Source organism: Homo sapiens, chromosome 12, assembly GCF_000001405.40.
Source record: "Homo sapiens chromosome 12, GRCh38.p14 Primary Assembly".
Taxonomy (NCBI): domain Eukaryota; kingdom Metazoa; phylum Chordata; class Mammalia; order Primates; family Hominidae; genus Homo; species Homo sapiens.
In genome coordinates, this window is record NC_000012.12 from 7,160,415 (window position 1) to 7,176,164 (window position 15,750).

General features: G+C 42.8%; 1 long non-coding RNA gene across 1 annotated transcript, besides 1 other annotated feature; it reads right to left on the bottom strand.

Moving 5' to 3' along the window:
* Positions 2,239-2,533: a silencer, noted in NCBI's record as "tiled region #5519; HepG2 Repressive DNase unmatched - State 12:CtcfO". NCBI's record gives its function as "represses a minimal TATA promoter and a strong SV40 promoter by Sharpr-MPRA in HepG2 cells {active_cell/tissue: HepG2}" and the evidence as "EXISTENCE:reporter gene assay evidence [ECO:0000049][PMID:27701403]".
* Positions 6,260-14,265, bottom strand: LOC124902869 (uncharacterized). Its single transcript, XR_007063196.1, has 2 exons — positions 14,200-14,265; positions 6,260-6,375 (listed from the first exon to the last, which is right to left on the bottom strand). It is a non-coding gene; the product is annotated as an uncharacterized LOC124902869 (long non-coding RNA).
* Between the last annotated feature and the right edge of the window lie 1,485 nt (positions 14,266-15,750).

The window sequence follows — 15,750 nt, forward strand, 5'->3', positions numbered from 1 at the left end:
CAACTCTGGATCTCAGTGGCCTTTCTCAAGTGCAACTCTGGTTGGACCACTCTCCGGTAGAGCAACTTTCCTACCTCCTTGTCAGGCCTAGGTCAAGTCCTGACGCCTTAGCCCCTTAACCAGGTGGGGCAGGTCCTGCCTTCCTCCTTCTCTGGCCTCTTTGCGGCCACCACCCCTGCACCCCTGCGGTGGGGTCACAGAAATCACATATGCTTCCCACACACACCCTGCTTTCTCGCCTCTGTGTCTGCATGTACTGTTCCCTCTGCCTGGCATGTCCCTTACCCATTGTGTGCCTGGCAGTCTTCTACTATCACTGAAGACCCGGTTCAAGAGTTGCCTCTACCAGGAGTTCTGCTGTGCTCTGGGAGCCCTTATTCACGCCTCCATGATGGTATTGACTACAAAGCTGAGGGACATGTCTGTCTCTCCACAGATTCTCTGTATCCCCAGCAACTTGCACAGGGCCTGGCACACAGTAGGGGCTCAGTCAGTGGTGACTGAGGTGATGTGTATGGCTCTCAGACTCAGGGAAGACTCACTGGTAGGAAGAGAGAGGAGAGCTCCGTTGGTGGCCCATGGCATGGGAGGTCCAAGGCTGAGCATGGCCAAGCAGACGCCCTGTAGTGGCCTCTCCTGTAGTCTAGGTCTGCCTAGATGCCAAGCTGATGTTCTGGGGTCTGAGGCAATACTGCATAGGAGACCGCCTTGCCTGTCTACCTAGAGTCTTCCAGAGGCTCAAAAGGTCACAGACTTCAGACATCTGAGAGCTTTGGCTCTCAAAGGGGCTTGAGAGTTTTTATTAATAGTTTGTGGTCCTGAATTTCAGTGGGTGAAGTTCAGCCCCCTCCTCCTTCTTGTCATCGTCTTAGTCCTCACCTACCCTGTCTCGGAGATGCAGCTTCCCATGAAGAGGAGCAGAAGCCAAGCAGGTTCTATTATTTTTGTGTGTGTCCTTGACACTTGAGGCTCGGGGGTCCTTATTCACTTCTAGCTCAAGTCTCAGGGATAGGGGCTGTGGGTAAGAAGGCAAGCTTGCCATGAACTCTGCTTCCCTCTTGATGCACACGCCCCTGCAGACTGCCACAAAGTAGCATATGTCCTTCTCTTAGTGTCTGCCCAGCCTCGGCCTGACTCTTGGCCTTCCTGGATCAGCTGCCTCTGGGGCTGGACATGGGTTTTTCTCTTAAATGCAACCACTCTACCTGAGATTCCTGGAAACTCTCCAGAATCAGAAGCCCTCACCTCTGATTATTTCTTCTGGTGTAACCTTTCCCGGCCCTCCTCTTCACCCTCAGTGTTTGATGCCCAAGTCTTGGCCCATGGTTAGCACATCTCCCCATGTGACTACTGGGCCCATCGAGATGTTACCTGGGGTGGGGGTATACATGGGCACCAGAGGCCTGGGGAAGACCATGAATTCCTTGTGCCACCACATGCCCTGAACTTCTGCTGTCACTCGCTGACTTCCCTCCCTCTCTCAATCTCTGCCTGTCTCTGACACACACACTCGCACACACACTAAACAGGGATCAGGCTTGAGGCAGGAGGCCAGCTCCAGTGACGCAGGGAAAGGGCAGCAGGCAGGATTCTGCATGGGTTTTTATTTTGTTGCTCAAGATCTCCTGGAAAGATGTTTCCTAACCTCCCTCAAAGAAGCTGGCAAAGCCTGGGGCTATCAGGCCCGGGGCAGGGTTTCCAATTCACCTATTCCCAATTTCATTTGAAACAGCAAACACATTTGCCTTGGCATCACTCAAACCGTTCTTTCTGCAATGGAAGGCTGTTTTCCTCTCAAGTCTACTCTCCGCAATGACAATTAATTAGCTTCTCTAAAGGTGCATGATGAAAAGCATGCCCTCGGGGAAAAGCGATGCTCTAGAGGCAACTGGGTTAACCACCAGTTCAAGAACAAAGTGTGTCCTTCTTCCTGTTACCAAACCAGAGTCCTGGAAACTCGCTTTTGTGCCGTCAGAGCAGCTGGACACAAATGCACTGGCGGTGGGCAGAGGTGTGGCTCTACCCACTTTCAAAGTCTGCACTCCACCCTGCAGCCTTTGGGCTGATGCACCTTCACCCTGGGGGCTTCACTGGGGTGGGCCTAGAAGGTCACATGTGCTCCCAGCCTTCTAGGTGCTGTGGGAGATCTCACGTTCCCTTCAGATTTTAGGTCCATGTCAGGGGCTCCCCAAAGTAGATCCCCTATATCCCCAGACCTGTCCCAACTAGGAGCTCTTCTTTCACCAGTCCAGAAGAGCTGGTGAAACTTTCAGACTCTGAGGTGTTTCCCTGATTTGTCCATAAGTGTGAAATGGAGATGAGTGTGTCCATTAGGTTCCTCGGTGCAGTTTCCTAAACTCCCCAGCAACCTGCGGAGGCTCTCAGTGTGCTCCCTCTGGCGGCCTCCTGGGAGAACGGAAGAACGGGAGGAAGGGAGACAGGTGTGGAGAGAGATGGGTGAGCCCGGGCAGGTGGGCGCGTTTGACAGGCAGAGAGGAGGAGCTGACGCGCCAGCCTCCACGGTGCTGGCGTCACTGCCTCTCCTGCGGCACCACGCTGCGGAGCACTTAAAATACCCACGTCCTACAGGAAGAGGACAGATGAGGCTCTAAATTTAGCGACAGTGGGTAGGTGGAGGGGGAATGAAGACTCCGGGATGTGGTGGAGCTGGCGTTGTCAGAAAAGGAGTAGGAATCCTGTATTTCCTGGGTGGGGATTCTAATTCATAAGGATAAGGGAGCTTCTGTCCCAATATCCGATCTCAGCGACCTGACTCCAGTTTCAGAAGTTCTCACCCCAGCTCTGTGGCCCCTCTCCCACCTCCCCCATCGGACGTGGTCTCTTCCCTTCCACACTTAAAGGTTGGGATTGTGCTACCCTTTCTCCTTGGGTCGCAGTGTGGCTGGCTCTGGGGGAAGAGGGTGTTACCAGGGGGCAAAAGCAGCATTTAAGAAAACTTCTGATTTTTAGTTAGGTCACTGGAAGGAGAGTAGTTTTCCTTCCATGGCACTACAGAGAAGAAAGGTAAGTCCAAAGGCAAGAAGCAGTGAAGCGGGGCAAACACAGTTTCCAGACAACAACTGCGCAAAGCCCCAGGGTACCAGGCCCAAGGAGGATGCAGGCTGCTCGTGCCACTTGCCCCCTGAAAGTCTAGCCCCCTCCCAGACCATTGGACGACTTCCCCTCTTCCTCGGGGACGTATTCTTGCTATGCCATCTTTTTGGTTTGGGGAAATCCCAAAGCACAGAGGCCTCCTTTTGCTGGGTGCAATGGTCGTGGGGAGGGGTTTAAGAACGTGGACTTTGCTGTCAGTGCTGCCTGTGTTCAAATCCCAGGAACTTAGTGTTGAGTCTTGGTCTTCAGCTTCTCTAAGGGTTGGTTCATCACGTAAACGGGGAAATTACTTACTCAAGGGGTTGAATGAGGCTTAAATAAGATAACCTTTTCTGAATAACTCAGAGTTGACATGCTGTAAAGTGCATGCTACTTGTTAGCTATCGTTGTCATTAATTACTGGGAGGTAAACAAAACCATCCTTAGTTCCAGTGATGCTGGGGTCTTTAAAAGCATAGGGTTTTAGGGATGGCAGAATTCCTCAAGCTTCTCCCATCTGAAGCCCAGACAGCATGTGGTTGTGATTTTGAACACATGCTTTGGAGCCAGACACACCTGGGTTTTTTCACGTTGGCAGCTCACAGAAGCTTACTGTGGCTAATGCCCATAGGAGTGTGACTATCATTGCCAGACTGTTTTAAACAGGCACAGTGTTATTATTTAAACAGGCACAGTGTTATTATTTAAACAGGCACAGTGTTATTACTATTATTATTATTTGAGATGGAGTTTCACATTTGTTGCCCAGGCTGGAGTGCAATGGCGCGTTCTCAGCTCACCGCAACCTCCGCTTCCTGGGTTCAAGCGATTCCCCTGCCTTAGTCTCCGGAGTAGCTGGGATTACAGGCATGTGCCACCATGCCCGGCTAAATTTTGTATTTTTTTTTTTTTTGAGACGGAGACTCGCTCTGTCACCCAGGCTGGAGTGCAGTGGCGCCATCTCGGCTCACTGCAAGCTCCGCCTCCTGGGTTCATGCCATTCTCCTGGCTCAGCCTCCCGAGTATCTACAGGCACCTACCACCATGCCCGGCTAATTTTTTATATTTTTAGTAGAGATGGGGTTTCTCCATGTTAGTCAAGCTGGTCTCGAATTCCCGACCTCAGGTGATCCGCCCATCTCGGCCTCCCAAAGTGCTGGGATTACAGGCGTGAGCCACCGCGCCTGGCCTGTTATTTATTATTTTTTAACAGATGGGGACTGTAGCAGACAGGAACTGAGCTGCTAGGGTCTTAGTAAGCAAGATCTCACAGAGTTTTGGATTCCAACTTCTGTGGCCAATTTTGAGCTGCATGAGCAAAGGTGATCTAGTGCTGCACGGAAGGCAAAGATAGAGGAGGATAGCTCACCATATAGAAAGTCTTTTGGACTCAGAAGGGGCAGAATCTCAAAAGATTCTCAAAAATAAAAGCTTTCTAGGTAAGCATTGGTGGATGGAATGATTTTTTGTTTTGTTGTGTTTTTCAGCCAGGTTTTCAGTCCGAGCTTCAAATCTAAAAAGAAGCTAAGTTGCTCTCCCAAGCATGTGTGTGTGAGCTTTGTGCAGGCCTAAGTGGGCCATGCCTGGTCTTATTGTCACTGGGAGCTGTACCATGAGATGAGACAGTAAAATGTGGAGGTGTCTTGAGCTCAGATCATGAGGCTTGTCCACAAGCTCTGAGGAGTTACTTCCAACCATCTCAAGGTAGGTGTTGAATTGTAATCTTTATCATCCTTTGGTTACCTATACAATCCTTGGCCATGAAGTTGAATTTTGGAGACCTAGACTGTGGCTTTACTCACTAAGTATATTATATTTTTCCCAATGTAGATATCAAAAGGAGGAAGAATCCCTTATTATATACCATTTTCTTGTTAGGATGTAGAGATAACTGAACTTACTGCAAACCCAAAGGCTCAAGAAGGCAATTACAATGCCTATGTTTAAAACATTCTAAGAATCAGATTTGCTCAAGGAATCAAGGAAGAACTAGTTAAAGACAACGGCAGCAGCAACAACAAAACAACGTAGAATTTTGTCTTTCTTCTGGAACGGGTGCAGTGGAAATAAATAAAAACAAAAGAAAAAAAAGGCTGATTAAGATGGGGGAAGAGGGAAATTTCATTGGGAGAAAGGCTTATGGTCTTTGAAGACAAGCTAGACAATGTTAAAGAAGTATGAGGACTTAGAGGCCAGGCCAGATGGGTATGTAAGTGAAAAGGTGTATGTGGGTCTGATGACCCTCAATTAGAGGATTAGACAAGGCCATTGACAGGGCTATAGAGTCTGGTGAGACAAGAAAAATGCAAAACAAAATGCAGAACTTATTAAGCGAGGAAAACTTGCTAAGGATCCAGGTATGGGTGCAGTACTGTTCCATCTACCTAAGATGGGAGAAGGCACAATGCAGAAGATGCCCTGCTGATGTGAGCTGTGAAACAGTCCAGCCAAAAGCCTGGCCTGTGGTCAGCAGAGGTAAATCTACCAGGAGAATGCTCATGAGGTCACTGGTGAGAATTACCTTGGCAGAAAGTAGCTCTCTTGTCCTGCTCTTCAATCTGACAAGTCACTGTTTTATAGCACTGTCTTAGTCAATTGGGCTGCTGTAACAGAATACCATAGCCTGGGTGGCTTAAACCAGGGATCCCCAACCCCTGGATCACTGATTGGTACCAGTCCGTGGTCTGTTAGAAACTGCGCTGCCACAGAAGGAGGTGAGTGGTAGGCAAGCAAGTGAAGCTTCTTTTGTATTTATAGCTGCTCCCCATTGCTGGCATTACTGCCTAAGCTTTGCCTCCTGTCGGAGCAGTGGCAGCATTAGATTCTCATAGGAGCACAAACCCTGTCGTGAACTGTGCATGTGAGGGATCTAGGTTGTGTGCTCCTTGTGAGAATCTAATGCCTGATGACCTGTCAATGTCTCCCATCATCCCCAGATAGGATGTCTAGTTGTAGGAAAACAAGTTCAGGGCTCCCAGTGATTCTACATTATGGTGAGTTGTACAATTATTTTACTATGTATTGCAGTGTAATAATAATAGAAATAAAGTGCACAATAAATGTAATGTGCTTGAATCATCCTGAAACCATTCCACCCTCCAGTCTCTGGAAAAATTGTCCTCCATGAAACTGATCCCTGGTGCCAAAAAGGTTGGTGACCACTGGCTTAAAATACATACATTTATTCCTCACAATTCTGTTGGCTGGGAAGTTCAAGATCCAGGTGTCAGCAGATTTGGTTCCTGGTGAGGGCTCTCTTCCTAGTTGGTAGACATCTATCTTCTTGCACATGGTGGAGAGCAGAGAGAGTGAGGATGAGCACTCATATCTCTTTTTATAAGGAAAGACACTAATTGCATTAACGGGAGCTCTACCTTCATGACCTAATTACCTCCCAAAGGCTCCACCTTCTAATATTATTGCAGTTTTTGCCATTTTTTAAAATGGCAAAACCACAGTTACTTTTGCACCAACCTAATGCCATCACGTTGGGGATTAGGATTTCAACATATAAATTTTTTAGGAGGAGGGGACACAAACATTCATTCCATAATAGGTACTAAGTTTTTGACCTAATAACCACAATCTTCCTGAGAAGGTCAAACTGCTTTGCTTAGTGGGGTAAATGACTCTACAACTCTGACAAGGTGTGAAACTTAGTATAGAGTCAGTGAGGTAAATTATAATATTGTGAAGTCAAGTTTAAGATAAATTTAAAAATCTGTATGAATTTAAGTTAAACCTGAATTTAAATTGTGTTTTCAACTTGAAATATGTGATTTTAGACTGATGAGTTTCAGTTGAAAGGTATAAGATGCTGCTTAAGCTTATAAGCAGTATTAGAACATTTAGGACACATCAAACATCTGAACATGGCAAATCAAGTAATTAGATTTACAGGAGTTGCTGAAGTGGTGAGAAAGATTTTGCATATAAGGATTCTAAGTCTACCTTGTCAGGCAATGAAAAGCATGAGGAAAAGAAACTCAATATATTAAGCATGTGAATATGGTTTATATCAGTTATGAAAAATGTGCTAACTTTGTAAATAGGACTCATTGCTAAGAAAATGTAAATCTGTTTGAGTTAAACATCAATCAAAGAACAAGTGGAAGTGATTTTTTCAAAAACAACACTTAGTACATTTATAGACAGAATTTCAAGATTTGTAATTCGAATTTAAAGGCTTATGCAAAATCAGATTTTATAATTATAATTTTAATAAACATTGATTAAAAACCCAGATACCTGGAAATAGTCTTTCTCACACACATTAGACATTTAAAATATTCACAGTGATGGTTGTGTGTGTGTGTGTGAAACTTGTATCAGTAATTAGATCAGAAAGAATGATGCACTCCAAAGAAATCTAAGAGATGGAGAAGAGATGGCCCAAAAAGGACTGGAGACACAAATTTGAGAAGCTTAAAAAAAAAACACAACGGGTTATAGTATTGAAAGCAAAATTTCCCATAATTTAGCAAACCAGTACCTCAAGAAAGTTTGATTTTAACATGTAGACCATTTTTTAGAAGTCTATTTTATTTATTTTTAATTTTTAATTTTTTTTTGAGACAGAGGAGTCTCCCTCTGTCACCCAGGTAGCAGTGCAGTGGCGTGATCTCATCAGCTCACTGCAACCTCTGCCTCTGGGGTTCACGTGATTCTCCTGCCTCAGCCACCCAAGTAGCTGGGATTACAGGTGCCTGCCACCATGTCCAGCTAATTTTTGTATTTTTAGTAGAGATGGGTTTTCACCATGTTGGCCAGGCTAGTCTTTAACCCCTGACCTCAGGTGATCCACCCACCTTGGCCTCCCAAAGTAGAAAGTCTATTTTAAACAATTTTAATTACAGCTAGCTTAATCATACACAGAATTCCTTTCATAAATTCCCCTTCATGAACCTTATCATGACTTACAAAGACCATTTACAACATGCTTGGACTTTTTGACTTGTCTTTACTATCTCTTTCTTAAATAACCAGCCATTTTATTTTCAGTTCTTAAATGTGTGTTTTGCCTGCAGTGCTTTTTGCTTTGACTTTTTGTTAACTGTATTTGGGCAATTGTTTAAAGCAGGTCACTTGGTTGTGAGAGCCCTCCCATTGTGTTGACTCTGGGACGCTGGAGTCATATTGTTCTGTGGCTCCCACCAGGCCTTTGGGATTCACTGTTGGCTTTTCCCTAGATGCTCTGAAGTTATTGGCATTGGTTAGCTCCCAGGTACTCTGGAATTTCTGGCATTTGGTGTAGGGACCCTCACTGGCTGATACTCTGGTACTCTGGATTTTTGGCATTTGGTTTTGTTGGCCACACTCTGAATGCTCTAGGGCTTTCAGCATTGGTGTTCCCTCTAGGATTGTGGGTTGAAGGCACACCCTAGGGGGAATCTTGGTCTTGCCTTTTCTTGTTTCCTGACCTAAAGTTATCATTTTCCATAACAGCATTTTCTTTTCTTATTGTCACTTTATTTGCACTTTTCCTTTTACATTTTGCTTTAAAAAATACTCCTTTTGTCATAGTTCATTCACTGGCAAATCCTTATAACCCACTTTCATAACGCCTTGCTACTTATACTTACACCTTCTCAGCAGGAAGTGAGAATCTAAAAGGAAAACATAGTAAAAGCCCAGTTCCTTTTCCTTTCACTAGACTTAGAAAAACTATGTCCGGTAGAAACATGGGACATGGGACAATGACAGGTATCCCAGAGGACTTGCCACTTGGGTTGTCTTTTAGGCTATTAGAGCAAATTCAAATTTGGCCTCAAGAAAAAGCAACTCATATTCTATTGCAATACCACTTGGTTTCAATACAAATTAGAAAACCAATAGATTTGGCCTAAACATGGTTCTATATGTTATAATAATATTTTACGATTAGACTCATTCTGTAAAGAAGAACGGAAATGAGAGGAGATCCCTTGTGTACAGGCTTTTATGGTCCTTTATTGGCTCATGTTACTTCTAAGTAACAGGAAGCTGTGCCTAAGGGATCCCCTCCTAGCTGCTCCCCCTAGAAGGCCTATGGCCTCCCTGGAGTCTCCTCAGTCCCCCAGTTCTGAGGGGGGTCCTGCCAGTTCTCTAATGAAGAATTCCACCCAAGGTCATTGGGCACCCCTTCCTCTTATCCAGCTACCCCAGCCTATACACCCTGCTGCCTGAGAAAGTACCAACCAGTACCACCAGGAGTAGGGCTCCATATCAGCTCCAAAAATCAAACCTGTGTCCATTGAGGGAGGTGCCTGATAGAAATGAGGAAACAGAGTACATGTGCCATTTTCTATGTGTGATTTAGTTTTATACAAGGAAAAATTTGGCCAGAGAATCCAGAAAAATTTATAAAAGAATTTGTTAAATAGACTATGTTTTTTAATTTAACACATCATGTCTTGCAAGTATTGTCATCTGCTTGCTGTGCTGTGGAAAAAAAGCAGAAGAAAAGGTGTGTGGTTAAGCCAGTGAATTATGACAAGGTGAGAGAAATAACTCAAAGACAAAATTCCCACTGTTTCAAGGTCATTTGTTTGAGACACTCAGGAAATATACCAATGCAGACCCAGACTCCTCAGAAGGGCAAGCTCTCCTGAGTATACATTTTACTACTCAATCTGCCCCTGACATTAGGAGGAAGCTACAAAAAGCAGCAATGGGACTTTAAACCTCCAAAGTCAACATTTAAACATGGCCTATAAAGTTTACAACAATAGGGCCAGGGCAAAAGAGGTGAAAAAAACAACAAAAAATAGCCCAAAAGTTCAATTGTTAACAGTTACTTTAAGCCCCCTGCCACCTCAAAGTTGCCCATCCCAAGAAAGTGTCACAAGATCAGCATCTGGGATGCCCAGACAAGAGCCCATATGTGTCTACCATAAGCAAAAGGGCCACTGGCAATGAGAATGTCCTAACTGTCCCTGGTGAGATAGGGAAAAAACTCCCTGTCAATACAGAGCTAACCTTCCATTAGCTACACTTAGTTGTCTTGCTCAAATAAGTTTACTGGGGGTCTTAGACCCTGACTCAATGGACAGTTTCCCACAGTGGTAGACAAGTGGCTGGCTGAACATTTTTCTTCAATATCTCCACTGCTGTATGAGCTCTCTGGCAGCCTGGGTACTCCAAGGTCTTTCCTTGAGCAATGCAGTTTGCCTTCTCCCTTCCTTATTTAATGCTATGGGATTTCCTTCCCTGCCTTTTCCTGTCTTCCATATCTACTGGGGCAAAAAAAATTTTGGCCTAATAGATGGTCCCAATTTTGTAAATAATTTGAATCCAGCTGTCTTATATAGGTCACTTCATTCATATAATATGTGTTGTGTCTAGCATGCTATCAAATTGCCTTATAAAAGAATGCTCATAAATTAAACAGATTAGATGATTGTAAACTTACTAGTTTTTAAAAAAATGTTGTATCTTCTACAATTTAACTTTAAGATTTTTACCTAAATAAACTATTAATATTCATAGGCTTAAAAATGATTACAATAGCTTTAAGTGGTGACTAGCTTTGTGTGGTTATTTTGGTTCTTGGTGGTAGTCTAGATAAAACTATTAAAAGTGAAATCTTAAATACGTCTAAATGCTGAGACCAGCTCAGTTGGGGAGACCCTAACCCAGCGGCGCTAGAGAAATTAAAGACACACACACACAGAAATATAGAGATGTGAAGTGGGAAATGAGGGGTTTCACAGCCTTCAGAGCTGAGAGCCTCGAACAGAGATTTACTCATGTATTTATTAACAGCAAGCCAGTCATTAGCATTGTTCCTATAGATATTAGATTAACTAAAAGTATCCCTTATGGGAAACGAAGGGATGGGCTGAAATAAAGGGATGAGTTGGGCTAGTTATCTGCAGCAGGAGCATGTCCTTAAGGCACAGATCGCTCATGCTATTGTTTGTGGTGTAAGAATGCCTTTAAGCAGTTTTCCGCCCTAGGCAGGCCAGGTGTTCCTTGCCCTCATTCTGGTAAACCCACAACCTTCCAGCATGGGTGTTATGGCCATCATGAATATGTCACAGTGCTGCAGAGATTTTGTTTATGGCCAGTTTTGGGGCCAGTTTATGGCCAGATTTTGGGGGGCCTGTTCCCAACATCTAAATATAATAGATACTTAAACAGTGAACTTTTTGTGTGGTTTAAAATCTTGAAATTGTGCAATGGTTCTCATCTATAAAATGTCAGTGTTTCATGGGCAGTGCAGGATTTCTTACATCCTTGGTTTATATAAAATATGACAAAAATTATATTCTTTATTGGGGAATAATAATAATAGTTTTTGTTTAATTTAAAAATTATTGAGAGGTTCAAAATATGAGGGAGCCAGTAAGTTAAAAAAATTATATAAAAAATTACAGATTAAAAGATTTTTGGCAAGTAAAAATATAAAGAATAATTTTGTATGAAGAGGGATCTTGTAAATTCTTGTCCTAAAATAAAATGACTCGTTATGTAAGAAAGAGATAGTATAAGACAAGTCAAAAAGTCCAAGCATATTGTATGGTCTGTGTAAGTCATGATAAGGTTTATGAAGGGGATTTATGTATGGAATTCTGGGTATAATTTAACTAGTTGTAATTAAAACAAAATCATTTAAAATAGACTTTCTGAAAAATGGTCTACATGCTAAAACCAAATTTTCATAAGATATTAATTTGCTAAATTATGGGAAATTTTACTTTTAATATTATAACATGGGGGCAGTACATCCAACTCAAATTCCAGAATTTCTTTTTTTTTTTCTTTGAGACAAGGTCTCACTCTGCAGCCTAGGCTGGAGTGCAGTGGCACGATCATAGCTCACTGCAGCCTTGACCTTTTGGGCTCAAGTGATCCCCCCTCAGCCTCCTGAGTAGCTGAATCTATGGGTATGCACCATCACACCTGGGGCATGGGTGTACAACTTGGCTTTTTCTCCCAGGAGGCTTAGCTATGGGCAAAAACTATAGACTCATTAAATGAACTCCGAGGCTACTCTGTATCCAAGGCTGACATTCTACTCAGTAGTTTATTCCTATCCCACACATGCCCAGCCTCATTTGTCTCACTACCCAAAATCCTCACCAGATGATTTGCTGTAAGATCATACAAGAGGATAACAACACTCCCATTATACAATGGCAGACATAAAGAACTTAAAAGTGCTTAAAACCCATTCCCTTTGGCAAAAGGACTAGTTGGCAAGCACTGAATAATAGTTAACTGCAAAACTAAGAGTAAAACAAAAGTGGGAATAGGAATGACAAGAGAATAATACAACAAACAAAATGGGAGGAAAAAGGAGAACAGCAGAAAAATCTCACTGATTCATTTTATGTAATAGCTACAAGTGAAAGGATATCATGTAAAGCTGACAAATCAAGTAGCAAAGAGTTGAGCATCTTCAAAAGTATAAAGGGTAAACATTAAGGAAGATTGTATGACTAAAGCTGAACAGGGGAAGGAAGGGAGGAGATGGAGGAAGAAAAGTTATAAGCTAGTCTTTTTTTGTTCATAGAAAGTAGCAATAGGATTGTCTAAAGAAAAAGGGAACTAAGTGTGTTAAAGGTAACCACTAGAACAATATTCCATTGTATGGATGTACCACAGTTGTTTATCCATTCACCTATTGAAGGACATTTTGGTTTTTCTTAAGTTTTGGCAGTGATATAGCAGTGGATAAAGCTGCTATAAACACTCATGTGCATGGTTTTGTATGGACAGGTTTCAACTCTGGTTAAATGCCAAGGATTGCTGGACTGTATGGTAAGAGTATGTATGTTTTGTTTTGTAGGAAACTGTTAAGACTATCTTTTCAAGTGGTCACACCATTTAGCATTCCCTCCAACAATGAAAGAGAGTTTCTGTTGCTCCACATCCTCACCAGCATTTGGTGTTGTCTGTGTTTTGAATTTTAGCTGTTCTAATATGTATGTAGTGGTGTTTCATTGTTGTTTTAACTTGTGATTCTCTAATGACATGATATTTAACATCTTTTCATATATTTATTTGTCATCAGTATATCTTCTTTAATGCAGTGTCTCTTCAGGTCTTTTGCCAATTTTAAAATTGACTTGTTATTGTTGAGTTTAAAAAAATATTTTGGATAACAAGCCTTTATCATCTTGTTTTAGTGTGGAACATTTGTTACAATTGATAAACCTACACTGACCCATCATGATTACTGAAATTCCATAATTTTCACTGGGCTTCACTCTTTGTGTTGTACATTCTGTGGGTTTGGACAAATGTGTAATGATATATATAATGACATGTATCTACTAGTACAGTATTACACAGGATAATTTCACCGCCCTAAAAACGCTCTGTGCTCCATATACTCATCCACACCCCTCCCTCCCCTTGAGCCCCTGGCAACCCCTGAACTTTTGACTGTCTCCATAGTTTTGCCTTTTTCAGAATGTCATATAGCTGAAATAATACATTATGTAGCCTTTTTAAATTGGCTTCTTTCACTTATCAATATGTATTTTAATTTTCTTCCATTTATTTTCATGACTTGATGGCTGGCTCCTCCCTCCCTCCCTCCCTCCCTCCCTCCCTCCCTCCCTTCCTTCCTTCCTGCTTTCCTCCTTTTCTCCCTTCTTTCCTTTACCACATTTGGCCCCTTGTGATATGGTGTGCCCCCCACTTCTCTGGGAATTGTAACAAACTATCTTTTCAATGGCAGTAATTTCCTGATCTGTTGGATTTACCATACCTAAAAATAATAAAACCAATTAAAACATTATCTACTGTGTGTGTCAGGCACAGTTCTAGGTCCTGGAGATCCAGCACTGAGCTGGCTGAAATCTCTGCTGTCATGGGGCTTACATTCTTTCTTGCAAAGCCCTTAGAGAAAACTCTAGTGGGTCATTTGCTATGGGATGAAGCAGGTGGAAGAGTCAGCAGGTGAATAGGTTCCCTGTTCTCTCAGCATTTTGAGGAGGGGGTTAAGAAGGCTCCCTCTTCCTATTGCTGTGACTTTTAGAAGGCAAGTGTGGGTGGCTTTGTGGCCTTGACAGTCTGAGTTTGAGTGCTAATCATTTACAGCAATACCTTGGAAAACATGAAGCCCAGCATCTAGAGACCTTGGAATATACTGAGATCAGGCATAACTTTTCTTACCTGGAGGAGAGGTTGGATAGCCAATAGTCACTAGGGAAGTTGAGTTCTGTCTGGAGTGGCATGTCCTGCTGGGAGAAAGAGGATGATGATCTTCCCAGCCCTCCAAGCTAGCCTCTTGCCAGGCAACTGGAAGGAGCTCCCCAGGTAATTCACCAGACAATCCTGCTTGTCTCCCACATTCTTATAGTTACTGAGAATGTGTTTAGCACAGTTCCTGGAACTGGAATACTCCCTAAAAATGTGAGTTACTTCAGTTATTGTCATCTCTTCTACAATAATGTGCAGAAGCAGGCACCTACACCCAAGAATAAGGATGTGAGAAGGAAGGAGACCCATGCTCCTGGGACTTATGCCTGGAATTATGACTTATGTTATATGACTATAACATGACATACCATCTACTATACTTTCCCTCTTTAATTTTAGCAGAGAATTTTTACCAGGTGCTACTAGGTGCTACCCTGAGACACGTAATATATCTTGCTCACCCTGTCATCAGCCAAAGTCTGTGGAATACAGGCTGTGTGTAACCAATGGTGTGTATTATCTCCTCTGTGTTACAGAAATATTGTGGGAGGAAGGGTACTCAGCTGGCTAAATTCTGCAGCAACAGGCAGTAGGAAACATACTCCACTTTCATCTGAAGAAGCTCAGTAATACTTTTTTTAATATATTTTATTTTTTAGAGCTGTTTGGGGTTCACAGAAAAACTGAGCAGAAAGCACAGAGAGTTCCCATATACCCCCTGTCCCCATCCCCAGACTTCCCTACTCTCAATATCCCTTACCAGAGGGTGCATTTGCTACAATTATGAACCTACATTGACCCATCATGGTCACCCACAGTCCATAGTTTTCAGTAGACTTCACTTGTTGTGTTGTAAGTTCTATGGGTTTTGACAAATGATATAAGTTCACCATTACAGGGTGGCCTCACTGCCCTAAAAATGCTCTGTCTTCCACCTACTCATCCCTCTTCCCTGACCTCCACCCCTTGGCAACTACTGATCTTTTTGCTGTCTCCATAGCTTTGCCTTTTCCAGGATGTCATATACTTGGAATCATATAGTATGAATCATTTTCAGATTGGCTTCTTTCACTTAGTAATATGCATTTAAGTTTCCTCCATGCCTTTTAATGGCTGGTTAGCTCATTTCTTTTTATTGCTAAATAACATTCCATTGTATGGATGAATCACAGTTTATCTGTTCCTCTACTGAAGGACATCTTGGTTTCCTTCTTCAAGTTTGGTGTTTATGAATAATATTGTGCAAAGTTTTGTGTGGATATGTTTTCAGCTCATTTGGTTAAATACCAAAGAGTGTGATGGCTGGACCATATGATAAGAGTATGGTTAGTTTTTGTAAGAATTTGCCAAACTGTCTTCCAAAGTGGCTGTACCATTTTGCATTCCCAACAGCAACAAAAAAGGGTTCCTGTTGCTCCACACCCTTGTCAGCATTTGGTGTTGCCAGAGTTTTGGATTTTGGCCATTCCAATAGGTGTGTAGTGGTCTGTCATTGTTGTTTTAACTTGCAATTCTTAATGACAT